The sequence below is a fragment of the Homo sapiens genome, chromosome 12 (assembly GCF_000001405.40).
Source record: "Homo sapiens chromosome 12, GRCh38.p14 Primary Assembly".
In the NCBI taxonomy this organism is placed as follows: Eukaryota; Metazoa; Chordata; class Mammalia; order Primates; family Hominidae; genus Homo; species Homo sapiens.
The window spans coordinates 51,901,426-51,927,186 of record NC_000012.12 but is presented as its reverse complement, the minus strand read 5'-3'; the positions used below and the strand labels follow the sequence as shown (position 1 = coordinate 51,927,186).

General features: G+C 52.9%; 1 protein-coding gene across 12 annotated transcripts, besides 6 other annotated features; it reads right to left on the bottom strand.

Annotated features, from left to right (window-relative positions):
- Window positions 2,505-3,336: an enhancer, noted in NCBI's record as "H3K4me1 hESC enhancer chr12:52317635-52318466 (GRCh37/hg19 assembly coordinates)". NCBI's record gives its function as "activates a minimal SCP1, AML or CMV promoter by ChIP-STARR-seq in primed H9 embryonic stem cells {active_cell/tissue: H9 hESC(primed)}" and the evidence as "EXISTENCE:reporter gene assay evidence [ECO:0000049][PMID:30033119]".
- Window positions 3,826-20,243, bottom strand: ACVRL1 (activin A receptor like type 1). Of its 12 annotated transcripts, none has more exons than XM_047429901.1 (11): window positions 20,184-20,243; window positions 19,492-19,690; window positions 14,652-14,717; window positions 13,837-14,088; window positions 13,417-13,628; window positions 13,114-13,213; window positions 12,602-12,748; window positions 11,687-11,962; window positions 10,954-11,151; window positions 8,072-8,202; window positions 3,826-6,428 (listed from the first exon to the last, which is right to left on the bottom strand). In XM_047429901.1, exons 3-11 carry the CDS (start codon window positions 14,710-14,712, stop codon window positions 6,294-6,296), a joined length of 1,512 nt encoding a protein of 503 aa, XP_047285857.1. In that variant the 5' UTR covers window positions 14,713-14,717; window positions 19,492-19,690; window positions 20,184-20,243; the 3' UTR covers window positions 3,826-6,293. The 12 variants fall into 12 exon arrangements, with proteins under 12 accessions (XP_047285857.1, NP_001393416.1, NP_000011.2 ...); NM_001406487.1 differs by having other exon boundaries at window positions 20,194-20,243; NM_000020.3 differs by lacking the exon at window positions 20,184-20,243 and having other exon boundaries at window positions 19,492-19,683.
- Window positions 4,122-4,171: an enhancer, noted in NCBI's record as "active region_6385". NCBI's record gives its function as "activates an Ori minimal core promoter by ATAC-STARR-seq in GM12878 lymphoblastoid cells {active_cell/tissue: GM12878}" and the evidence as "EXISTENCE:reporter gene assay evidence [ECO:0000049][PMID:35858748]".
- Window positions 8,668-9,240: an enhancer, noted in NCBI's record as "H3K27ac-H3K4me1 hESC enhancer chr12:52311731-52312303 (GRCh37/hg19 assembly coordinates)". NCBI's record gives its function as "activates a minimal SCP1, AML or CMV promoter by ChIP-STARR-seq in primed H9 embryonic stem cells {active_cell/tissue: H9 hESC(primed)}" and the evidence as "EXISTENCE:reporter gene assay evidence [ECO:0000049][PMID:30033119]".
- Window positions 11,499-12,385: an enhancer, noted in NCBI's record as "H3K4me1 hESC enhancer chr12:52308586-52309472 (GRCh37/hg19 assembly coordinates)". NCBI's record gives its function as "activates a minimal SCP1, AML or CMV promoter by ChIP-STARR-seq in primed H9 embryonic stem cells {active_cell/tissue: H9 hESC(primed)}" and the evidence as "EXISTENCE:reporter gene assay evidence [ECO:0000049][PMID:30033119]".
- Window positions 13,031-13,864: an enhancer, noted in NCBI's record as "H3K27ac-H3K4me1 hESC enhancer chr12:52307107-52307940 (GRCh37/hg19 assembly coordinates)". NCBI's record gives its function as "activates a minimal SCP1, AML or CMV promoter by ChIP-STARR-seq in naive H9 embryonic stem cells {active_cell/tissue: H9 hESC(naive)}" and the evidence as "EXISTENCE:reporter gene assay evidence [ECO:0000049][PMID:30033119]".
- Window positions 19,014-19,522: an enhancer, noted in NCBI's record as "H3K27ac-H3K4me1 hESC enhancer chr12:52301449-52301957 (GRCh37/hg19 assembly coordinates)". NCBI's record gives its function as "activates a minimal SCP1, AML or CMV promoter by ChIP-STARR-seq in primed H9 embryonic stem cells {active_cell/tissue: H9 hESC(primed)}" and the evidence as "EXISTENCE:reporter gene assay evidence [ECO:0000049][PMID:30033119]".

The window sequence follows — 25,761 nt, the reverse complement described above, 5'->3', positions numbered from 1 at the left end:
GCAACCAGGACTGGAAAACAGTTAAATCAAGAAAATCTCCAAGTTGTATATGCTGGCTGTTGTTTTTCTGTTAAATGCTGGCCACTTAGAACCATCTATTCCACTTTTCTGTGTTTGTCTTACTGTTTTATTAAGGAGTTGCATCTCTGGAGAAGAGGAAGAAAGAATCATTGAATATAAAATCTTTAAAACATCTGTCCATGAGCAATGACTACTTAAAACACCAGTGGCAGGCCTCATCACCCACCTGGTGGCAGGTTATCTCAACTGCAGGCCCAGCGCTTTAGGACAACTACCTTTGTCAAGTTGAACTTACAAATCCAACACAAGAAGGGTGGTAGGGCCTGCCTCGAAAACTTGTTTGCTTTGTTTATTTTTCTAAACATCAGTTCAGCCTCTTGGCCTGAAGGATCATAGATTCCAAATTAGTAGACTCAAAATTAATGAGATTTTCCAGTAACAAGCTTGAGACTAAAATTAAGGAAAATGCACTAATTATAGACTATCTAGCCACCTAACCACCACTTGGATCCAAGCCTCTGGGAGGAGAGGAGGAGGGAAGAGGACGGTCCTCGATTAGACCTGCACTGGACTGTCCTTCCTCTAGGTGCTGCTGCCCATTTCCCTGGCCTGGGGCCTCCCAGCACCCAGTGCTTACTGCCTCAGGGCTCCCATCCTGACCCAGGCCAAGCTGGGTCCCTCTTCTGAGACCTGTGTAAGCCTTCAGGCCAAATTCCTGGAGACTATCAAATAGGGCCCATGGTGGAGGTAGGGGAATCCTTTCTCCTCAGTTCTGGGAAGTGGTATGAGGTGGGGGTGTGGAGTGGGCGGTTCTGGGAGAAGGAAGAGGGGTAGAAAAGGCAGACAAAATGCCCATTATACCCAAGCCTGTCGATTTCCTTTTTTCATGTCTTTATCAGTGTTTGTGACGGAGCTTCTTATCAACAGGAAACGCCTGCCTGAGGGGATGAGGCAGGTCCTGGGGGCTGGACATGGGACAGGGAATTCTGGGTAGTGCGTGGCGGCTGGGCAGCCAGACCAAGTGGTCTCCCCTTTCCCAGGACCCAGTAAGGTTCTCAGGCTCTTTGCCTTGGCATCTGGTGGATCCTTTGATGTACACAGGAAGACAGCACACCAGACATGCCCCAAAGCCAGAGTGTCTACAGGAGGGAGCCCTGGGTGGGGCTCCAGCCCTGACCCTCTGTGATCAAGGAAGGTTGCCAAACAGCTCAAGCTATAATATAGGAATTGTCTTTGCCCCTAGTCTCCACCAATCACCAATCCCCCTCCTTTCCAGATGAGGAGGCCGAGCAACTGGCCAAGGTCCCAGATAACTTAGTGACAGTCACCTCAACTGGCCCTTGTAAGTCTGTTTCTGCATCTGAGCCCTCAGAGGCTGGTGTGTGTGTCGAGCATCCAGGCCTGGGACAATGAGGTACTTGGTACAGACCTCTAGATGAAGAAGAGGAGGGGACTCCAGCACTGACTGACCTCCTACTGTGTGCCAGGTGCTCCAAAAATATTGATCATGAGACTATGATCCTTATCTCTCAGATAAGGCTCCCAGGAGAGGAACAGACTGCAGGTCAGATTTCCCAAGAGGTGAAGATCTAATCTTAGCGCTGAAAATAAATGCCCATGAGGGATGTCTGGGCCAAGCAAGGCTTTATGGGTGGCTGAAAGAAACAGGTTTATCTATCTAGACATCTTTCTTCAAACTGTCAGAAGACTGAATAGAGAAACAGGAACTGGCTGTTCTCCTGGTAGGAGAGGTGGGAAGGGTTTGTGCAGAACAGCAGATGGGTTACCTGACTTCCCATTCCTTACCCTCTTCCTATCAGTTGACCCTGAGCAACCAGATTCTGTTTCTGGTGATGCTGGTAATAAGGAAATTCCCTTGATTTCCCTGCCCATGTGTCTCCCTGGACAACCCCATTCTCCCCCTGCCTCACCATTCGCTCCTGCAGCTGGGGATGTAGGTCAGTAAGAGTGGGTGGGTGAGAAAGAACAGAGAAGAGACTCATCCAGACATGACACCCTGTAGGGCAGCAGTGACAACACTTTAACCTGAAAACTGCCTGAAAATAGACTGTGTGTCTATGACATTATGCAAATCATATGCAAAGTCAAGAAGCCCTCTGTCTCTATTTCGAGCAAACTGAATGTGGCCCTGGTGGAAGCAGCTCATTCCAAGAGTCGCCCACCCAGAGTGATGATTACACAGCTAGCATCAGTCCCAGCCCTGGGAGACTGGACGCAGGACATGCACCCCCCACTCCTCCCCCAGGACAGGGACTTCTAGGCGTGAGGACTTTGCCATCTCTTGGGCTGTTGATCTTAATGTTGGTGAGGATATGGAGGAAACAGCACCTTCCTTGGAGGCTGGTGCAAGGCAGGACTGAGGGAGGATGGTGCCTTGGAGGGTGGAGAGAAAAACTGTTGGTGAGGCCTTGGCAGGGGAAGGGGTGGCCCTCCACATCAAGGCTCATATTCCAGGAGCTACCCTCAGCCCCACTGTGGCATGCTATAGCACCTATCACCCCTCAGGGAGGGCCTTTACCACACAGATGGTCCTCTCCCTCTTTGTCTAGATAGGGAAATTGGGGCCTGGGGTCCCTGAGGAAGTCAGGGCAAAGCTGCAGAGAAGTAAAGTGAGCAGTAGGTTTTTTTCCTCCAAAGGCAGGCAGGTTCCCTGAGGTCTACTTGTAGGCAGGGGCTCGGACGGGGTGACTTCCCAAGGGCTCTTCGCAAGAACTGGAGAGCAGTGAGCCAATCTTGCCGCAGATCCTGCTCAGCGTTCACGTACCCCTTTCTCTGCAATTTCCCCACTGCCCTTCTCCCCACTCTCCCACCATAGCCTGGACATCATGGGGAGGACGTAAGGACAGAGTCTGGCAGGCACAGGGGAAGGGGAAAGGCTGCCTTTGCTGGATGCTAGCAACGCTCCTATTTCGTCAAAGCTGGTCTGAGGCCGGGTGCCCGAATCCTCTGGGAAGGCGCTGTGTTGTTGGGGGATCCATGAACCCAGGGTAGGAGGTTCCAGGCATGAGGCCGCCTTGGGGGTGCAAGGGACCACAAGGTCATCTGTGGTGTAAGGTGTACCCTTCCTATGTTTCCCTAAGAGGGCGTCTAACACGAAGGCACAGATTTTCTAGGCTGGGCAGTCCCATGGGCCAGGACCCTCTCAGCTTCTTTTAGTATCTGCCTCCCCCACAGCATGTCCCCGCCCCGAATTTCCGGGTGTGAGAATGGGATGTGTGTGTGAAGTGCCTTCTGATCCCAGGACAAGGTAGGTCCCCAGGGAAGGGGATCTTCCCATGCTGGGAATGGGGACTGACTCCTGGCAAGATGGGGACCCCATTTGAGAAGGGAAGTGAGAACAAGGAATTGAGGAGGGAGGGTCCAAGCTGCCGGTTCGGAAGCAGAACGCTCTTCGCTAGGTGTGGTATTAGGGGGACAGTCCCTGCAGAACAGCAAGTCAGTGAGCACACAGACGTTGGCCCCCGGGTGCGGGGAAGGCTGCCCCACCCTGCCGGGAAAGGCCCCGCGGTCCCTGTGTGGGGATGGGAGGCGGCCGCTGGGCAGCCCTCGGCCAGCAGAGGGCGACGTGGCAGGTGCGGCGACTAGGCTGCTCCCAATCTGGGGTAGGAACTGAGATTTGGGCCCCCGCGGGGGTCTGAGCAGGGGCGTGAGGAAACTGTGACCTGTCTAAGGGCAAAGCTGGGCGTGTATCCTGGGACCCTCTTCTCCCCGGATCCCTCTGGTTTTATCTGGACCTCTGCGACGGGCCACTGCAGAGGCATCGGCCTGGGAAGACTCCGGAGCTCAGGATTTAACCATGGTTTATTGCAGACCTATTGTGTGCCAGGCATGAGCCCAGTGCTCCCACAAACAGCGTCTCCAGGTACGAGAAGTGTAATTTCGACCCTGGAACACCTTCCTGCACTCAGACAGAAGCATGTGCAGACTGCTCTCAGCAACGCCACCTCCTTCACTCCCTGGCCATTGGGCCCCCTTCTCTCTACCTGTCCCCTGTCACTCCACTTCCTGCCCCAGGCCTTCTCTTAGGGATTTTCCAGGCTTTGGGGAGCTGCTGCTTTCAGTTTCTGGCTGTGGGGTCTCAGCAGGAGTTTGTTCCAAAACCCAGTAGAAATAAAATCCTTCAAGAGGGAGATGATTCGTGGGCTGGGTGGATTCCAGTGACCAGAGGACGTGCAAACTCTGCCCTAATGATCTGGGAACCTAGCCCATCCATTGAGCTTTCTGTTTTCACCCAGTTTCACTTCCTGGTTCTCTTCCGAGCCTTGCACAATGCTGGGAGACAGGCCTAGAAAAGTGCCACCATGAGGATGGTGGAAGACACACATAAGATGCCGGCCTGGGGAGGCTACTCTGGGTCATTACAGCAGGAGCGGGGAGAGCTTTCTTCACTGCCCTGCCCCTAGGCTGAGGACGACTAAGGCCAGGTCTTCCCAACCTTGGGGCTGTCCTTGTCCATAGCCTGAGTCTCCACCCCCGCTCCTTATATTCCTCAAGCTCCCCTCCAATCCACTTCCCTGCAGCCCACTTCCCTGCACCCAGGGACCAGGACAACCTGCTCCATACGTGAGCATACATACATCCTTGAAATTTCCAAATGCCAAACTTTCTGTGTGTCTCTCTAGAGCCATTGAATTCTCCTGAGACACACTCTCTGGGCCTGGCCAGGGGTGTGGGCCTGAGCCAGGGGCCAGTAGGGGAGCTGGAGCCTTCTTGGATGGAGCCAAATTTCTTTTGAGCCTTGGAAGCCTTGGAGGAAGCCGCCCTGCAGTCCTGGGGCAGAGAAGACTATGCCACAGAGAGGGCGAGGGGCTGGCTTGTGGTCAAAAGGCCCAGAGCTGTCTGAGCCCAAGGGTGGCCACTGGCATGGTTTTAGGCAAGAACTGGAGCTTGCAGACTTAGACTAGGAGGTGCTCCAGACACTCCTTGAGTCAGGTAAAGTTATTTTCAAACCCCCATCTTGAGGCAAATTGCCAGGGGCTGGAGCATAAGGAATAGATGAGACTGAAGAAGTTAGCTGTGATATAGGCTGAAGTGTCAGAGAACTAGAGCTAAAGAAGCCTCAAAGGACATCAGGACCAAATCTTCCAATATGTAGATAAGAAACAAAGGTCCTGGCCAGGCGCGATGGCTCACACCTGTAACCCCAGCACTTTGGGAGGCTGAGGTAGGTGGAACACCTGAGGTCAGGAGTTCGAGACCAGCATGGCCAGCATGGTGAAACCCTGTTTCTACTAAATATACAAAATTAGCCAGGCATGGTGGCATGTGCCTGTAATCCCAGCTACTCGGGAGTCTGAGGCAAGAGAATGATTTGAACCTGGGAGGTAGACGTTGCGGTGAGCTGGGATCATGCCATTGCACTCTAGCCTGGACAACAAGAGCGAAACTCCGTGTCAAAAAAAAAAAGAAGGAAAAAAGAAAAGAAAAGGTCCTGAGACAGGCCTGCTTTTGTCACATGGAGCAAACATCCGGGGTCAGACCTGGGTCTCTTGACACCCACTGACCTTCCCCCTGCCATGCTTGGCCTCGATATCCTCTCAGTTAATCTGAAAGTCCTGGGCCTTGCCCATCTGACCTGCCCTTTTTCCACTGGCCTGTGATCCTGCCACACCTCAGTAGGACCTCTTAGGATTTAATGCCCTAGTAAGTCAGGCCCCAGCTCTCTCAGGCAGCTGACATTCAGCAAGCTGCACTCTTGTTGAGGAGACAGAAAGCCCAAGGCATCATGGAGCTGAGATACAAATCCACAGAGAGAAACTGATGGGCCCTGGCTCTCTGGAGCTTATGCTAGAGGCTGAGGCCTGGCAGGGAAGTGTGTGCCAGGGGCTGGACAGGGCCCTGTGCCACCCTGGCAGCTCTGGTGGGGCAGTGGGGTTGATCAAGGGCAGGGGGCAAAGTGCAGGCCCGGGCTCTGAGTCTGGGACTGGGATTCCCTGGCTTGGCACTCTGACTCTGGAGCCTCTTTTGCATCCTGTCCCGGGAGTGGTAGGGGGTGCACCATGCTGGCCATAGGGGTGGGGAGAGAGCCAGGCGTCAGGGAGCCTGCCGCTTTGAGCAGGCCAGACAGCAGGGGATCAGGTTTCAGCCCAGCTGTATTTTTGGCTGGGTGGGCTGGGGGCCGAGCAGGCAGGCGCAGCTGCCCATCCCCAGCACACACCACACTCACACTACCTCTACCCAGATAGGGCACCATCCACTGCCCCCCACCCCCCCAGCCCCCTGCAGGCAGAAAGGAATCAGGTGCTCCTGGGCTATTGAATCACTTTAGGCTTCTCTGGACTGTTGCTAATTTTTTGTAGTGTCTTCTTGATCCGCAGCGCGGTGAGTCGGGCAGAGGGGTTTGGGTACCAGCACTCCCGCATCATCTGAGCTAGGCCTGAGAGGACCTGGGGGTTGGGAGAGAGGTGCAGAGGAGAGGAGGCAGAGAGAGAGATGCAGAGAAGAGGAGGGGGTCGGGAGAGAGATGCAGAGGGAGGTGGGTCAGAGAAGATGGGAAGAAGATGAGGAGGATGGCCGGTAATGGGGAGACATAAGCAGGAGAGAAAGGATGAGAGGAGGGAGATGAGAGCATTGGAAAGGAGAGCGAGAGGAAAGACAAGTGGTGAGAGAGAGAACAGAGGATGACAAAAAAATAAAAAATGGAAGAGGAAGAGAGTAGAGTGAGAAAGGGATGGAGAAAGACAGGGCGGACAGAAAGAGAGAACTCAGATCTTCAGGAGCACTCAAGCCCCCTTGGGCAAGCAGTGTCTGTGAAACACCTTACCCCCATCCCCACCTTTGCCAAGATCCATAGGAAGGGGCCGATTCTTCAAGCCTGGGGGCTCCCACATCCCCATCCACAGCCTAAGACCCCAGTGCAGAGGGCAGTGTCTTCCAGCCCCTCCATCAGCCATGGCTGGGCCCAGGGGACTGTGGAAGTGGGAACTGCCCTAAAAATGCAAGTGTCCAGGGAGCAACCCATCCCAAAAAGCTCATCAACCCATCCCAGGAAGCTCATCAACCCATCCCAGGGCCTGAAATGAGCTGGCCCCACTTCTGGCTCCTGAAAGTGAGTGTATGTGTGTGTGTACAGGAATGCATACATGTGGCTTTTTGCGGATATGTTGTACAGAAATGTATGTCTATGTACACATAGATGTATACATGTATAGAATATATTCATTCTTTCAGTAAATATTTATTAGCACCTATTGTGAGCCAGATACTATGATAGGTAATAGGGACATAAGGGTGAGCAAAAGACACGTTCTTTGTCCTCACGGGGCCAACAGTCTGGCATATATGCGCATGTGTATATTTCTGTGAGTGTATGTTCAGAAGGATATTCACGCTTGTATGTGTTGATATACGTGTGTGTGTCTTTGTACAAGTGAAGTGTTTTGAGAAAAAACAAGGACAAACAACAACAAAACAGCAACAAACAAAGACAAATAGCAACAAAAATACCACAGTGGTCAGGTGTGGAGGCTCACACCTATAATCCCAACACTTTGGGAGGCTGAGGCAGGAGGATCACTTGAGCCCAAGAGTTTGAGATAAGCCTGAGCAACATAAAAGACCTTGTCTCTACAAAAAATTTTAAAAATTAGCCAGGTGTGGTGGTGTGCACTACACCTAGCTACTGGGGAGGCTGAGGCAGTAGGATCAGTTGAGCCGAGGAGTTTGAGGTTACAGTGAGCTATGACTGTGCCACTGCACCCCAGCCTGGGTGACAAGAGCAAACAAAACCCTGACTCTCAAACACACACACACACACACACACACACACACACACACACACAGAGCCACAGATAGCCTCTGACTTTTCACAGGGAAGGTGAAGGTTCTTAAAATCCCAGAATGACCAGATGGCCCTGGGGGCAGGGAGCATGGGCCAGGGTTGAAAGAGGGAGTACCTAGAGAGGTGCCCTAACCAGGACACTCAGTATCTATGAGATGAAGCAGAGGCCTCAGACACAAGTTCCTGGGCCCAGAAATCCCAGCCATGAGCCACCACCCCACGCCATCCTAGTCCCAGCAGAGGCCTCACCGGGTCTGCAGCCAGCCGGTTAGGGATGGTGGGGGTCTGCTGATCCACACACACCACCTTCTTCATGTCCTCAAAGCTGGGGTCATTGGGCACCACATCATAGAAGGGTGGTCTATAGTCCTCCACGATGCCTGGAAATGGAGAATGGACAGGACAATCACTTGGGACTCTAAGGAGGCCCAATACCACCCAGAGGAGAGCCTTTTCTACCCTCTATCCAAGGGCCAGAAACCAGTGGCCTGGACACGCTACCCCTGAGAGGGACAGTATAATGCAATAAATGTGTTTCTAACTAATGTTAATGACTGCCATTTGTTTTGCACATGGCATGTGCCAGATATTCTGCTGTAAACACTTTACATGCTTTATCCTGTTTGTCCTCACAACAGCCCTGTGGGGTGGGTACTAGTATTACCTCCATTTTACAGATGAAGAAACTGATGCTCAGAGAAGGGGGGCCCAAGGTTCCACAGCTAGTAATGGCAGAGGCAAGACTCAAACCCATCTCGGATTCCTAGGCCAGCCTTGTTCCAGTCTTCCCTCAGCTGCCTTCCACCCAGTGCCCGGGACTGCTCCCAGGCCCCAACTATCACACATGCCTGATAATAATAACACCAAATGTTTACTGAGCACTGTATGCCAGGTGCTGTCCTAAGAGCTCTGCATGAAATCCTCACAGCAGCCCTATGAGGTAGGTAATACTATGAGCTCCACTTTATAAGCCAAGAAATGAAGGCCAGAGAGTTTAAGAAACTTGTCTAAGATCAACAGATAGTAAGTGACAGGGCTAGGATTTAAGCCCACAGTCTAACACCAAAGCATGTGCTCTTGACCTCTGAGCTGCACTTATCTTTTTACCCAGGTCCACATAACATCACCCAGTGTCAGGGATGGCACAGGCCTCTGCTGACTCCTGCAGCCAGCACTGACCCCCTCCTCTTGGTATCCCAAGTTCACAGTTTTTAGTAGGAGCTTTCTGAAAACAATGCCGGTGGAGCCGCAGACAGCCCCGTGCCCCATCCTGTTTCCCAGCCTGAGGCTGGGGGCCATGGCCACACAGGCCGCAACCTCGATAGAGCCTTCGCCAGCTGTTCTCCCCATGGCCAGCTTCCAGGCCGGCCCCTGTGCCGCTCACGCCCTAATCAGTGCTGCACAGAGGCCTGAATGTGTCTAATGGGCCTTTAATCAGTGCCGGGGCTGACACCAGATTACAGTGTTTATAATGCGCCGCGAGTCCGTGTGGGGCTGATGGAGCTTCCCCCTCCACCCCAGGCAGCCTCCTCCCAGCCTTTCCTTTCTGCCCTGCAGCCTGGTCCAAGGAGCCTTGGCTTCTTCCAGGTTCCTCTTTCCCCCGATCCCGGTCTCCTTAGAGCCCACTCTGGCAATTCATGCCCGGAGTCTTGAGGAATCTAAGCACCTCGTGAGTCTCCCCAAGGGACCGGTGACACCACAGCCTCTGTTTTCAGTTGATGACCACCGAGGACAAATGAAGTCTGGCATGGGGCTGGCTCCTGGTAGATGCTCAGGAAATGAGGACATCCTTGTCCCCAAGAAGCAGGGCTCCAGCCATATCCTGAGGATTGTCCCCAACCTGTCACGACTCCTGGAAGTCCCTCACCATGGACAGCCTCCTCAAAGGTTGACAATGCTCCCACCAGTCTAGACGACCCACCTATCCTCCGTCCACTCCAGGGCTGAGAGAACATCGACCTCAGGGCTGCCTGCCCAGGGCAGGTCTCTCTACCTGTCGCAGTCCCTCTAAATCAGAGTCCCCTGTGGCAACCCACAGTAACAACCAGGCAGCAATAAGCAGGCAGTGCAGGCACTCACATGCATTGCGTGCATGAGGAAATCAAGGGCCAGAGAGGTTTAAGTGCACACAGTGATGATGAGCACTGGCCCCGGGGCAGACTGCCCGGTTTCGGACCCTGATGCTGCCTCAAGCCCACTGTCATTCTGTGCCCCCGTCTCCTCAACTGTAAAATGGGGACAATATGATGTCAGGCACTCATTCTATCTACAACAATAACAGCCACTAATATTTAGCTCTAGATACTGTTCTAAATACTTAGATTATCTCAACAACTGGAAGCTATTTTTATTCTCATTTTATTTATTTATTTTAATAAATTTTCTTTTTTTGAGACAGGGTCTCACTCTGTCGCCCAGACTGGAGTGCAGTGGCATGATCTTGGCTCACCGCAACCTCTGCCTCCTAGATTCAAGTGATTCTCCTGCCTCAGCCTCCCGAGTAGCTGGGATTACAGGTGTGTGCCACCACAGCCAGCTAATTTTTGTATTTTTAGTACAGACAGGGTTTCGCCATGTTGGCCAGGCTGGTCTTGAATTCCTGACCTCAGGTGATCTGCCTGCCTCGGCCTCCCAAAGTGCTGGGATTACAGGCATGAGCCATCGCACCCATTTTACAAATGAGGAAGCTGAGGCACAGAGAGGTCAAATAACCTACGCACGGTCATGGCAAGATCAGGAATAGAACCCAGGAAGTCTGATTCCAAGCCTATGCTCTTAGCCACTAAGCAATACCACTGCCTTGTCCATACCAAAGAATTAAATAATACATGTAAAGTGCATAGCATGGCATCTGGCACATATTTAAGCTCAATCAATATTAGCTGCTATTAATATTTCTGTTATTATCATGTACCCAAGATTTCACAGCCAGACTCACAGACCCTGTTATCTGTTTTTAAGGTTTATACCTTAAAAGGTCACTCAGCTGAACCAGCTGGTGGGCAGCATGGAAGGGGTGCCAGGAGGTCTGACTGCAAACCTCCCAGGCCATGGGCACTGGCCATGGCTGGAAGCCCCTGGCTCCACAGGCTGATTCCCCTTTCCCTACCCTGTGTAGGGTGGGCCCTCACCATTCACGATGGTCCGGCGGGCAATCTCCCACAGCACCAGGCCAAAGGCCCAGATGTCAGTCCACTTGTAGGACTCAAAGCAGTCCGTGCGGATCTGCTCGTCCAGCACCTCGGGTGCCATGTACCGCTTGGTGCCCACTCTCGGGTTGTTGCCGATGTCCAGGTAATCGCTGCCCTGTGAGTGCATCACAGCCAGGCCTGTGGGGGTGAGGCCTGTCACTCCTGCCCCTCTCCCAAACCTGGGATCCAGGGGGCAGGCAAGGTGGGGACTGAGAGAAACAGTGGGACAGAGAGGGGAAGGCAGATGGAGACGTGCACGGAGATGGGCTGGAAGGCAGTGGCCACAGAGAGAACCATGGCCCCAGGTACTCTTTGCTTGTGTAGTGCTCTCTAGGTTCCCAAGAACCCAGCGAGATGTGAGTGGGCAAGGCAGGCATTATGAGCCCACTTCACAGAGCAGACCTGGAGGCTGGCGAAACCAGGATGAGAACCCAGGTTCCTGGCTCCTGCCTCCTTTCTCCCAACTCCTGGAGCCAGGATGGTATGGTGGAAGGAATCTGGGTTTGAAAAGGGTGTTCAGACAACTCGTGGGGTCTTGCGGAGGAGAACTGAAACAACATGCACCTCTAAATTTTCAAGTGCTAATCATGGTCACCGCCCACAGGCAAAGGAGAGGAGAGCGCACAAGCTCCGCCCACCTGTGAAGGGCGCGCCCCTGCCCCGCCCGGCTCACCCAGGTCGGCGATGCAACACTGCAGGTTGCTCTTGACCAGCACATTGCGGCTCTTGAAGTCGCGGTGGGCAATGGCTGGTTTGCCCTGTGTACCGAAGATCTCCACGTGCAGGTGCGCCAGGCCGCATGCCGCGGACACAGCTAGCCTCAGAGCCAGATGGGGCTCCAGCGTCTGTCTCTGCAGAAAGTCGTAGAGGGAGCCGTGCTCGTGGTAGTGCGTGATGAGCCACAGCTGCGTGCTCGAGTTGCGGGAGGTCATGTCTGAGGCGATGAAGCCTGTGTGCAGAAAGGTTGGGTGACTCAGCCAAGGGGCTGGGGCTAAGGGAGGCTGGAGTCGTCAGGGTCAGGGTGGGGTTGGGGGAGAGGGAATGGACTGGGTCACTGCTAAGCTAGGTCTGGGGGTGGGGGTTGATGTGGCTTAGGTCAGAGACAGAGCTGGAGTCAGAGGTTGGGTCTGGGCCTGGCTTAGTGGCTTGCACCTGTAATCCCAACACTTTGGGAGGCCAAGGCAAGAGCACTGCTTGAGCCTAGGAATTTGAGACCAGTCTGGGAAACATAGGGAGACCTCGTCTCTACAAAAAATAAAAAAGTTAGCTGGGCATGGTGGCACATGCCTGTGGTCCCAGCTACTCAAGAGGCTGAAGTGGGAGGATCACTTGAGCTCAAGAGATTGAGGCTCCAGTGAGATTGCACCACTGCATCCCAGCCTGGGTGACAGAGCGAGGCCCTGTCTCAAAAATTAAATTAAATTAAATTAAATTAAATTAAATTAAATTAAATTAAAAAAAGAGGTTGATGCTGCAGGTGGGCTGAGAGTCCTTCAGGGTTCTGTTAATGTCTGGAGGTCTGCAAACTTGAGCCCTGAGTGCAGGGGGGCAAAGCCCCAGGCCTGGCACAGCTGGCCTCTCCCCTTGCCTAGGATGTTGTCGTGTCTGAGCAACACTGTGTTATAGATCTCAGTCTCCCGGAACCAGGACTGTTCATCCCTCGAGGAGAAGATCTTGACGGCCACACTCTCACCGTGCCACAAGCCCCGCCACACTTCGCCATAGCGGCCTTTTCCTGATGGCCAGAGGGGAAGGTGAGGGTTACACACTGGGCACACAGAGCCCTGGAAGAGCCCCCCATCTTGATGCTGCGCTGCCTCCCTCGCCCACCCCACCCACAGAACCCCAGACCCTTAGGTTTAACTTAATCCAGACCCAAACCCAGTGGCAGGCCACCCCCAGCTGCCTCTCGTTCCACCCCGGTCCTGCAGAAAGAAGAACCTAGCCCTGGCCCGTCTCCAGCCCACTCCCTGCCCAGCAGAATTCCAATTCTGACCCAGGCCTGGCACCGCCTGTGATTCCAGTAGCCAAAAACTCCCTCACCCCTCCAGGCTCATGAGAGCCCTTGGTCCTCATCCACCGGGCTCACCCACTGCTCACCCACACACTCCACCAAGGCAACCTGCCGTGCCACTGTCCTCTGCACCAGGAAGGGGAGCCCTGAGCCACTCCCTGTGGTGCAGTCACTGTCCAGGAGGTCCTGGGGGTACGGAGAGGCCACTGAGAGGCTGCCACAACCAGCCACAGCCCCCTTCTCTATCCTCGACCTGGGACCTGCTGGGTCACTGCAAGCTCCTCACTCGCCCAGCTCCCCACCGGCTCTAATCTCTGGGTGACCCCTCTGATTCTGCAGTTCCTATCTGCCCCTCCTACACCCTGTGTCCCAGGTCCCCAGGCCCATACCCCCAACATGCTGTCGCCCTGCTCAGATGCTTTCAGGATGAGACTGGACTCTCCCAGCTCGCTGTGCAGGCCACGCTGCTTCTCCTGCCTCCGTCGGACATGCCACAGGCCCAGGACACCCAGGGCCACCAGGGCCAGCAAGGCCAGCACGGGGCCCAGGATCAGGGCCAGCTGGCCATCTGTTCCCGGCTGCTCCGAAGGAGGTTGGGTGGCTGAGGGAGGGGGACACTGAGGCTCAGCTTCCACTAGGTCAGCTCCCCCCACCTCGGGCCAGACCACTCTGCCAGTTAGATCCCAGAGTCCTGCCCACCCGCTCCCCCGCCCCCAGCCCCTTTATTGGCCAGAGCATGAGAGGAAAGGAGGGAAGGGAGGGCAGGGGCCAAGAAGATGGGGAGGGAGTGCTAGGGCAGCTGGACGTACCCTCCAGCACCAGGGACACGTTGTGGTTGCAGAGGTGGCTGTCGCAGCAGTAGTGGTTGACGAACTCGGTGGGGCGCCCCCTGCAGAGCTCCCTGTGCAAGTTCCCGCAGCCCCGATGTTCCTGGGGGTGCCTCCCCTCCTCCCGCACCAGCACTACTGTGCACCAGGCCCCCCGGCAGGTAGGCCCCTTGCAATGTGGGCTCTCACACGTGCAGGTCACCAGCGGGCCCCGAGACGGCTTCACAGGGTCTCCTGGAAGACACACCGGAAGCTCAGCCACTGTGGTCCCAGCTCCCCCAGGCTGAGCCCGACACCCATTTCTGTCCTACTGTCCCTCTCGTCTGACCCCTCAGACAAACACCTTGAAGCTTTGGTCTCTTACTTTCATCCTCAGTCATCCTTCCCTCAGAACCCTCCCCTCAGAGCAGCTGACACTCTGAAAAGCAGGCTTTTGTCCCCTCCTGGCTCCTAGGTCCTCCCCTCCCAGTTCTAGGCTGGGCTGGGCCCCCAGCCCCAGCCCTGAGTGCTCTCCCAGGCTTGGCCTGCCAACACCTGCTCTCCCTCCACCCCACATATAGGCTTCCACCCTAGTCTGACAGAGCTCCAGCCTGCAGGTCTGGATCAAGAGGAGAGCAAAGGAGGGCTGGGGTAGCTGGGGACTGAGTCTAATGGAGCCTCACTGTCCTCCACTCTCCAGTCAAGCTCCTACATTCTCCCCAGCTTCTCAAGTTCAGCCCCAGGCAGAGCTGATCTGGGCCCAGATAGCCCTTTCTGTATCCAGGTTCCTGTTTCCTAACTGCTCCCCCAGTACTCACCCTGGGTCACCAAGGCCATCAGCAGCATCAGAAGGCCTTTCCTGGGGGAGCCCAAGGTCATGGTCCCTGCAGAGAGGAGCAAGAGAGGTGGAGTAAGAGCCATGAAGTGTGACAGCCGCTGGCCGTGGCTCCCTCCTGCCCAGAGGAAATCACAGAGTTTTTTTTGGAGGGGAGGCAGGGAGGCCGCCTCCCTACTCCCTGCCGCCTGGCTTTGGGGCGGGGCCTGCAGGGGAAGTCCTGGTTCACTTCCCCATGGAAACCATCCTGTTAGAGGTGAAGGGTGGAGAGCAATGTTTAAGTGACTGAGAGCTTGGGGAAACCCTAGCTCTGCACTCCTGCTGCTGAGCTCAGACTGCAGGCAGGTTGGGAGAGCCGCAGGGAGCACCCAATTGGGGTAGAAGGAGCATCTCTCCAGCAGCTCCCCTTCTGTTCTGTGTCTCTTTCCCACTCCCTCACAGCTTCCACCCCTGCCTACCCTTTCTCAATGCCCCCCCAGCCCTGGCTGCCTCAAACATAAACAGGCTCCTGTCTTCGCTTCCTGCCATTCAGGGTCCTGCCAAGCCAGGAACAGGAATCAAGATTGTTTAGATTGGGGTCTGGATAGAACAGGCAGGAGTCACGCACAGCAGGGAACTGAGGGCATATTTTCAGGGTGGGCTGCAGCAGCCACAAGGTCTGGAGGGGCTTTTTAAATATGCCCTTAGTTCCTTGCTACCCTTAGTTCCTTGTGCCTGGGACACCCACATGACAGAATTCTAGGTGGACATCCTGTGAATCACAAAATCCAGCTCCTTGTTTTACAGAAGAGAGGAGTAAGGCTCATACAGGGAAGAAGACTTGTCCCGGGTCAGACAGGACTCACTGGCACCAGCAGGCGTACATCCCAGGTTTCCAGACTCCTAATCAAGTGCTCTCTTCGCTCTGTCCCTATCCAGTGGTGGCAGCCCATGTCTGAGCCCTCAGGGCTATAACAACCATGCAAAGCTCGGACGGGGCAGGGTCATGCCAGGTGTAGAGAAACCTCTCTGCAAGCTCACCAGAGTATAAGCTGCCCTCTCGGAGCTGTTCCCTGGCCCCCTTCTTTCCCCTTGCCATCTAGGAAAGGGTGGGTGGAGGGCCAGTGATGTGGCAGGGGAAGTGAAACACACTTAGACACTGAATGTTTGACCTTCCATGGCTGACTAGGGTTGAACTTTTCCAGAAGTTTGTTGGAGAGTGTTAGGGGGAGTAATTCTGGTCTATGATAGTCCCCAATCCAGGTCCCACACCAACTAGTGCTTCTGAAGCCACCCAGTCTTCATTTCTCACAGGTTTAGAACCAGAAGATATTGGCTAAAGCTGCAGCAAGAAGGACCCTGGTCAGACAGCAACAGGACTTTCTGAATGGTGGAGCATGTGCAGGTGTGTGTCTGGGGACTGGATCCTCAGGCAGGGCACAAGGCAGGGAGACTGTCCTTTGGCATGACATGGTGAGCCTGACAGGGCTGGGCACATGGCCACAGAGGCTTCAGAAAGCCCATAGTCTAAGAATGGTGCCAAATGAAGACCCAAGATGCTGAGGCTCTGAGGGCAGTATGGCTAGGGGTGGGGTAGGGGGGCTTCATAGGCCTCTCTGGCTGGTGGCAGGCCTGGCCTTCCTGCCTGGGCTTCCTCTGCCCCAGAGGCCCAGGCTGGGGGAGGAAACAGAGCCCTGGGCTGCTGCAGCTGTGTCCCCAGCCTCTGCCTGACCTCCTGCCTCTTGCCCCTCCCGCAGCCAGTGAGGACTCTGGCTAGCACTGTGCGGCAGGACTGACGGTGGGATGGGATGGAGAGAGCACCCTAGAGGAGCTGAATCTGCCCACTGGGGTACTAGCAGGAAGCCATCCTTGGCAGCCTTTGCTAGCCCAGAAAGCTGCAAAGGAGAGGGTTTGAGGTGGAAAGGAAAAAGTGGCTAACAATAAGGCTAAAATCCGGCATTCCTCTAGGATCCTCTGTCCGTACCTCTACTTCTCTGGCCGTGCCCCAGTCCACCCTCCTTCTACTTTATCACGCATCAGAATCACCTGAAGTGCTCACTGAGAAAAGCATATTCACTGGTTTCACCCTCACTCCAGACTCTGATTCAGTCCTGGAATCAGCAAGAAACATGCATTTTTTAAAAGTTCCCCAGGGAGTTCTGATCAGTTTGTGTGGGCACAACGCTAAGTCTGGTTCCTCTGCTTTCATTTTGCTGTACAGGGCCCTGCTGGGTGAGTGGGAGTGGGATGCAGAGGGAGGGGACACTCACTCCCACCCAGGATACTCCCCATCTACTACAGAAGGGACAGCCAAGGGTAAACACCAAAGCTGGGACGTGGTGACACTGTGGAGCGAGGCTGTCTGCATCTGCAGAACCCATCTATGGTCTAATCCTGGGAATGTGATGGAGTAAAATTGGGACTGTCCAATTTTTAACTGGACCCAGTGTGAGATCAAGTACAGGAGGATGCTGAGTCCCGACCAGTCCAAACTCAGAGCTGACTCTGTACGATTTACCCTGAAATCTGACTGTAGCACAGACAGACTCCTGGGGCCTGGCAGGATCCTTTCACTTCTAAGCAAAACTTTGTGAAAGATCTCCTGCTGACAGAAGCATCACTATTGTTGGCCAGAAATTACAGACGTTAAACTAATTTCAAACGTTAGCTAAACACTATGAAATACTTAATAATAACAGTTAACCTTCTCTGAGTACTAATTATGTGCTAAGTACTGAACTTGAATGGTTTATCTGATTTAATCATCACAACAGTCCAACGGGGGAAAGTGAGGCTCAGAGATGTTCAGTTTCTTGTCCATAGTCACTGAGCGTGTCTTAATAAACTTAAATTGCTGATAATAAATCATTCCTTGGTCATTGTTATTCCTCCAGTTGTTTGGGGTTAGATGAGTCCCTCAAAGGAAGAAAAAGACATGGGTCTCGGTGGACGTGTACAAATTGCCCACTACTGTTGTTATTAACGGGTGCCCTACTCAGATTTGTTTAAATGAAGACAGCGTTTTTGTTTGTTTTTAATTTTTTTTGAGACAGGGTCTTGCTCAGTCGCCCAGGCTGGAGTGCAGTGGTGCAATCATAGCTCACTGTAGCCTTGAACTCCTGGGCTCAAGTGATCCTCCCACCTCAGCCTCCCAAGTCCCAAGGGACTACAGGGGTGCAGCACCATGCCCAGTTTTATTTTTAGTAGAGATAGGGTCTCACTATGTTGACCCAGGCAACAAAGGTGGTGTTGCTGCCCAGAAATCATCTGTTTGCCATAGGCTTAGTCAAAGTCTGAGCCTCAGGTGGGGAGAGCCAGAGTAGTGGTATGCCCGAAAGGTGCTTATCAATGTTTTTCTCCCTAGCACACCTGAAGGATTGATAAAACCTACTCCCATCAACGGCAGTGGCTCAGCACAGCAGTGATCTTCACAGGGCTGGAGAAGCGCCATATCAAGCACAACCTTCTGGACTCACTCTGCACTTCAGTAGGCCTTACCCCAACAGCAGAGGAGCAGACCCAGCTGTTCATATTGGGTTGCCCTTACGATTCATCCATGTGATTTATTAGCCCTTCACAGCGGGGTGATGCAGTGGAACATCCAGGTGATGCCTGGATTTTCAGGTCTCAGGCAGACCATGGAGGCAGCACAGTGTAGCACAGAGGTTAGGGTGTGGGCTCTGGAGCATGGAGACCTGGGTTCAAATCCTGCCTTTGCCACTTAGAGGTATGAAATTTGAGACGTTACTTAAACTTTCTGAGGCTTAGGCTTCCCATCATATGTAAAGTGGGAATAATAATAGTGTTATCTCATAGGTAAAATGTAGTACAATTATTTAGCAGAGTATAAGTAGTACACAGTAAGCACTGAAATGTTATCAAGACCCCAACCATGCCATTCACCCCACCATCCAAGGAGTTTTGGACAAGTCCCATATTCATGTCTGTTTCCTTTTCTGTAGGAAGGGGATAGTAACCCCTCTTCCACTAGGTTGCGGCCAGGATTACATGAGAAAAAATATATATATCTAAGTGTCTACATAGTTAGTACTCAATCAATGGTAGCTATTTCTAACAAACCAATGAAATGGGGGGACAGGTGAGAGGACAGGTATTAGGACAGACCCTGACTCAGCCAGAAGCTGGCCATACATAGAGAGAGTGAGAGCAACTGTCCATTATGCCCCTGTCCTTGGAGAAGGAAAGAGGAGCTGGGGCAGCCAGCCCAGCCATGGGTTTCACAGCACTGGCCTCCATGGAAAAATCTGGGGTCCCAGCCTGGGGGGAGACTGGGATCCCCTTTGGCCTGGATCCTGAAGGAAGGTCGTGGCAAGGAGGTGACTGACCATGCGCGCCTAGGGTGAGACTCCTAGGTTGGAGTGATAGTGTCAGATTCCTCAAGCAACAGCTGGAAGGACTGATCTGGGAAAGGTGAGCTCTGCTGGGAGGCTCAACAGCTGTGGAAGTAGGCATTCACTCCAGGTCCACCCAGCGGCCTGGAGGACGTGTGATCCCTTCTATGTGAGTAGAGCAAGACAGGAATCCCACTGCCCATTTTATGAAGAGGGTAGGAGAACAGAGAAGTGAAGTCACTGACCCCAGGTCACCCGACTAGAACCAAGTTTCTGATTTCCAGTCCAGTCTCGTCCATTCCCCTCCAAGTCTCAGGTAGGGTCATGGGAGCTGTGCGTGGTCAGCCAGGAGCAGCTTGCCTTTCTAATGAGCTGGGACTGAGCCTCCCGCGACCACTCTGCGGTGACTCTGGGGTCCGCCCGAAGGAAGGGCCCACTGAAGCGGGGGTCAGGCCGCCCGCCACCCGGTCCCGTCCGCGGACCTCGACTCACCTCTGGGCCCGCTCTGCGGGTGGCGGGGCGCTAGCCTTCGGCGGACCGGGGCCACCTCCCCTCCACCGCGCGGCCGCAGTTGCACCGCCAGCGCTGGACGGCGGGCTGGGGTCCGGGCGCGGCCCCGGACCGGGCTGGAGCCGGGGAGGGGCTCGCTCGGCGCAGCTGGCGCGGCAGCCTCCCGGGACTGGGATGGGGGCTGGAGCAAAAATGTTTCTTATTCCAGCGTCTTCCTGCCTGGCCCAGCTCCACCACTCCCTCCTAATAAACCGTTTCCTTATTGCCCAGCTCGCCGACTGGCCGCCGCTCGCCCCTCGCTGGGGCTGCAGGACCGGGACCCACCCCCGCGCCGCTCCCAGCCCCTCAGGGCGGCCTCCCCTCCCAGCCGCCCGCAGCTCCCGGGTCGCTGGCCCGCACCCGGGCCGGGCCTCCCACATCCGCCTCCCCGAGGGGGCGGGCCTTGGACTCAGGCCGTGGGGGTCCTGTGGGGGTCCCATAGGGGTCCCGTGGGGTCCGGACCCACAGCCGTGGGAGACAGAGCCGAGACTGTAGGCAACGTCTGGCGGCCGGAGTAGTGGGTGGGGGTAGAGGGGGATCGGCTGGCAGCAGCGGAGGGGCCGCCTGGAATCGGGGCGCCGGGAAGGGGCCACCGAGGAAGGGACAGGCGGGGGTGGGACGGGGAGGGACACTACCTATCCTTACCCCACCCTCAGCCCGGGGGTCCTCGGTCTAGGAGGCTTGCAGCAATGAGGGCAGAGTTTGGGGCTAGCAAAATCCAGATGCGTTTTGACTCCGCCCTCGGGAACTCCCGACTTGGCCCAAATCCTTCAGTCCCCTCCCTCGGGCCCCTTCGTCCCCCATTTGTCCCCTCCTGTCTTCAGCAGCCTCTCCCGATCCGCACTCAGCACAGGGGTATACAGGCCCAGAGGACGGCCTTGGGTTAGCCCTGAGGATGGTTTGAGCCCTTCCTGGCCGTTGTGCAGCTGGGTGACAAAGACACCCCCGCCCCGCCAGGGACAGTCAGGATGGAGGGACACGCTGGGAGCAGCCTTGGACCTTCCCCTTCCAGGCAGGGCCCCCACCCCAGCAAATGGAGCTTTAGATAGAGGTGGGGAATGGAGCCTCCCTGGAACTCTGCTGACACAAGGCAGCTGGGGAGGGAAGCAGAATGGCTTCATACCGGCAGGGGAGGGGGACACAGACTCTTCCTGATGCTCCTGCACAGGCTGGGAGCACTGACCTCACTGCCCTGCTTTGCTCCAACCATCTAAGTACCTGCAGGACTCTGGTCTTAGTCCTAGCCTCCTGGTTATCCACAGAGACTCTGAAGTCAAACTACCTACTAGGAATGCAGGCTGGTTGTGTTACCGTAGGCTAGTGACACCTCTCCATGCTTCAGTCCCCCATCTGCTAAATAGGCATAGTAAACCGTGCCAGCCTCATAGGGTGGTTGTGAGAATAGACGGAAATGATGCTTATCTCAGCTCATAGCAAAGATGCTGGCTGGCTGAGCCTGACTCAGAGGAGGCCCTCAATGAAGGCGTTCGTTAATTAAATGAATAAATGAAAAGGCTGGGGAGGGGGTGGCCTCAGAGACACTTGGAAAGACGTGGGTATTAGAAGCAGGAGTAGACCTCTAAGGTGTCTTACTCTAATATGGGGATTCTACAAGATGAGCCAGGGACCCCTCCTCCTGCCCCGCCCCACCTTTTGACAGGAATAGAGGCTGGGGGAGATAATGGCTAAAAGCTCAGACAGGCATCAATTATTGACTGACCTCACTTCCTCTGCTGAAACCCTCCCCATCCCCCACCCCACAGCTGCTTCACAAGTTGTGAGCGTTGTGAATTCCCAGAACCCTGACACACCCAAATTTCAGTGTCAGGACAGAACTGTGTCCTGCAGCCAATAGGAAGTACTATGGGATTACGATATCTGCTCTTTCAGATTATAGCGGCCACTTGGGCCCTCTACGAGCTGGAGAACTGGGAGCCTGGCCGCGGGTCTGTCTTTCACACTCTCTCTCCCTGCTCCGCTATGGCTTCTGGTCAACCTTTTCCTCCCCCAACCCCTGGATCTCTGTCCTGAGAAGCGAGAGTCGGGGCTTCCCAAAGGAAGCCTTTAGTCTGAGAGGCACACTGAGCACAGAAACTTCGAGATGGACAAAAGCTGAGAGTCACTTCTAACAGTCAGTGGGGGATGGAAGACTATCTGGACCAGCGTTCGTGAAACAGATAAAAATAGAGTACATTTTGGGAGCTGGAAGAGAGGACCCAGGGGGGGCTGGAGTCTGTTCATCAGTGCTGGAATCTTCCCCATCTCCCCAGAGCACTGAGCCCTCTGGCCCCTGACTGGTGCTCTTTGGGGCTCTTGTGAACCCCATGCCTTCCAAAGCACACAGAGAACCTGGGGGAGGTGTCAGAGTTGGAGATCCAGAGTTGGAGAAAGCCCTGGAGAGTCATCCCAATGAGAAAAGGGAAAAGGAATTACAGACTGTGTCCAAGTCTACAAGAATTAATTACTCAGAGGGACCAGCTGTTCCCCATATTCAGTGAGGACAGAACAAGAGGAAACAGGCCCAAAGGACAAAGATTTAGATTTAGATACTCAGAAGGATTTCCCAACACTGCAGGAAGCAGAGGCCTGGAGATTCTGTGTGGGGTGAAACCTCAAGCAGATTCTCATCTGTGGAAGGTGGGTGACATGGAGTCTGTCAGGAAGGCAGGGCAATGGACACCTTCACCTTTCAGGACCAGCTATGAGTATTAAGTTCAAGCATCATTCTTTTTTTTTTGAGATGGAGTCTCACAGTGTCGCCCAGGCTGGAGTGCAGTTGCGTGATCTCAGGTCTGCCTCCCAGGTTCAAGTGATTCTCCTGTCTCAGTCTCCCAAGTAGCTGGGATTACAGATGCGTGCCTCCACGCCTGGCTAATGTTTGTATTTTTAGTAGAGACGGGGTTTCACCATGTTGTACAGGCTGGTCTCGAACTCCTGACCTCAGCTGATCCACCCACTCAGCCTCCCAAAGTGCTGAGATTACAGGCATAAGCCACCCCACCCAGACTCAAACATCACTCTTGATACTAGTGCGGGGCTGGCTTCATGGGAGTGTGACCTGTGCAGATGCACAGGGCCCCATGCTTGGTTTAATGCGCTGTCATTGCCATCTTAAAATTCTTAATGATATATTTTTTTTCCATTTATTTAGGTCTCTTTTATTTATCAGTGTTCTTGTAGTTTTCAGCATTTAACTCCTTTATGTGTTTTGTTACACTTATACTTTTTAAAAGCAATTATAAACAGGATATGCTATTTTTAATTTTTGTGTCCATTTGTTCATTAAATTATATAGAAATATAATCGATTTTTACATATTGATCTTGTATACTGTGACCTTGCTGAACTCACTTATTCAAGGGGGTGAGGTATTTGGGTTTTCTACCCCTCATGGATTCTTTGGGATTTTCTACATCGACAGTCATCTGCATCTGCAAATAGAGACAGTATTATTTCTTACCTTCCAATATGCATATCTTTTATTTCCTTTTCTTACCTGACTGCACTAGCTAAAACTTCTAGCATTATGTTGAATAAGAGTGGTCAAAACAGAACAGCCATCCTTGCCTTGTTTCTCTTAGGAGAACACACTCAATCTATTAATCATAATGTTAGCCGTAAGTTTCTTGTAGTAGCCACTCTATATCAGATTGAGAAAGTTCCCCCATTCCTCTTTTGTGTGTGTGTGTGTATTCTTATCATGGATGGCTATTGAATTTTGTCAAATGCCTTTTCTGCATCCACTGATACGAATTGTGTAATTTCTCTTTGTTAGTCTGTTAATACGGTAGATTATGTTGACTGATTTTCTCTTCTTTCTTTTTCTTTTTTTTTTTTTTTGAAACAGAGTTTTGCTCTTGTTGCCCAGGCTGGAGTACAATGGCGTGATCTCGGCTCACTGCAATATCTGCCTCCTGGGTTCAAGCGATTCTCCTGCCTCAGCCTCCCTAGTAGCTAGGATTACAGGTGCCTGTCACCACACCTGGCTAATTTTGTATTTTTAGTAGAGAAGGGGTTTCTCCATGTTGGTCAGTCTGGTCTTGAACTCCCGACCTCAGGTGATCCACCCGCCTCGGCCTCCCAAAGTGCTGGGATTAGAGGCGTGAGCCACCGTGCCCAGCCTATGTTGACTGATTTTCTAATAGTGAACCAGGCCTTACATCCCTGGAATAAACCCACTTGGTTATAATGTGTACTTCTTCATTATATATAGCTCAATTTTATTTGCTAATATAGTAATTTGCTGCATAATGAAGTTTCAGTCAAAAATATTCCACACATACAATGATGGTCGCATAAGATTATAAATGGAGCCAAAAAATTCCTGTTGCCTACTGACGTCGTAGTAACGCATCGCATTACTCATGTGTTTGTGCTGATGCTGGTATAAACAAACCCACTGCGCTGCTAGCCATAGAAACGTATACAGCATGTACAGCTATGTTCAATAAACAATACTTGATGATAAATGACAATGCTACTGGTTTATGTATTTAATATCCTATACTTTTTATTATTATATTTTAGAGTGTGCATCTTCTATTTTTTAAAAAAGTTAACTTTAAAGCAGCCTCAAGCAAGTCCTTCAGGAAGTATTCCAGAAGGCATTGTTATTACAGGAGACAGCAGTTCCACACATTACTGCCCCTGAAGACCTACCAGTGGGACAGGATGTGGAGGTGGAAGACAGTGATAATGATGATCCTGACCCTGTGTAAGCCTAGGCTAATGTGTGTGTTTAATAAAAAAAAAAAATTAAGTACAAAAATGAAATTAAAAGTTTTAAACATAGAAAAAAACTTATAGAAGCCGGGCGCGGTGGCTCATGCCTGTAATCCCAGCACTTTGGGAGGCTGAGGTGGGCAGATCACCTAAGGTCAGGAGCCTGAGACCAGCCAGGCCAACAGGGTGAAACCCCATCTCTACCAAAAACACAAAAAATAGCCGGGCGTGGTGGCGGGCACCGGCAAGCCCAGCTACTAGGGAGGCTGAGGCAGGAGAATCACCCCAATCCAAGAGGCAGAGGCCGCGGTGAGCCGAGATCACGCCATTGCACTCCAGCCTGGGCGACAAGAGCAAAACTGCATCTCAAAACAAAACAACCAGTTTTTGTCCAGTTCAAGGATTATTTTCTCTGTCCTTCCACCCTGTTATTGCGCTCATCCAATGAGTTTTTATTTCAGTTACTGCAATTTCCAGTTCTAAAATGTCCATTTGGTTCTTTGTATCTCCTAAATTTTTATTATTATTTTGCTGGGACATTCTATTTCTTTGTTGAGATTTTTGATTTTTTTCATTTGTTTCATGATTGTTCTTAATTACTTACTGAAGCCTTTTTTTTTTTTTTTTTTTTTTTGAGATGGAGTCTCACTCTTCCTGCCCAGGCTGGAGTGCAATGGCCTGACCTTGGCCCACTGCAACCTCCGCCTCCTGGGTTCAAGCAATTCTTCTGCCTCAGCCTCCCAAGCAGCCAGGATTACAGGCACCCAGCTACGCCCGGCTAATTTTTTGCATTTTTTACTAGAGATGGGGTTTCATCATGTCGGCCAGGCTGGCCTCAAACTCCTGACCTCAGGCGATCCACTCGCCTCAACCTCCCAAAGTGCTGGGATCACAAGCATGAGCCACCATGCCCGGCTACTGAAGCCTTTTTTTAACGGCCACTTTAAAATTTTTGTCATACGATTCTAACATCTCTATCATCTCCGCGTTGGCATCAACTGTGTTTTTCATTCAGTTTGAGATCTTTCTGGTTCTTGGTATGACAAGTGATTTTTTTTTTTTTGAAACTGGATATTTGAGGTATCATGTAATGAAACTCTGAGTCTTCTGTAAATGTTCTGTTGTAGCTGGCGTTTTATGATACCATTCTGGCAGGGGAGGAGAGGGTACACATCTCGTTACTAACAGTGGGGGAGGAAGTCTAGGTTCTCCATTCAACCTCCACTGATGCTCATTACTGGCATGTGGGGGTGGGAGTTCCGCTGGAGGGAGTAGGAGTGCCTCATTACTGCTCCTCCACGGCCTCTACTGACACCTTCCCGGGGAGTGGCTTCCTTATTGCTAGACTGTGGTCAAAGTCTAGGCTCCCCTTTCACCTTTGCGGGTGTAAGTGCGGGACTGCACAGTTTTTTCTGTGGTGTGGAGCTGGAGCAGAGCAGTGATTGTTTAAAAGTTTTCTGCCTCACTGGGCTGCTCTTTCCTGGTCTTCTG

What these genes read in the sequence shown, in the direction of transcription:
- ACVRL1 (XM_047429901.1), bottom strand. Translation starts at nt 14,712, where the DNA reads ATGACCTTGGGCTCCCCCAGGAAAGGCCTTCTGATGCTGCTGATGGCC. An exon ending in CAGACACGACAACATCCTAG is followed by an intron (nt 11,963 to 12,601) that starts GCAAGGGGAGAG and finishes TTCTGCACACAG; the next exon opens with GCTTCATCGCCTCAGACATG. An exon ending in CCGCCGGACCATCGTGAATG is followed by an intron (nt 8,203 to 10,953) that starts GTGAGGGCCCAC and finishes CTCCATTTCCAG; the next exon opens with GCATCGTGGAGGACTATAGA.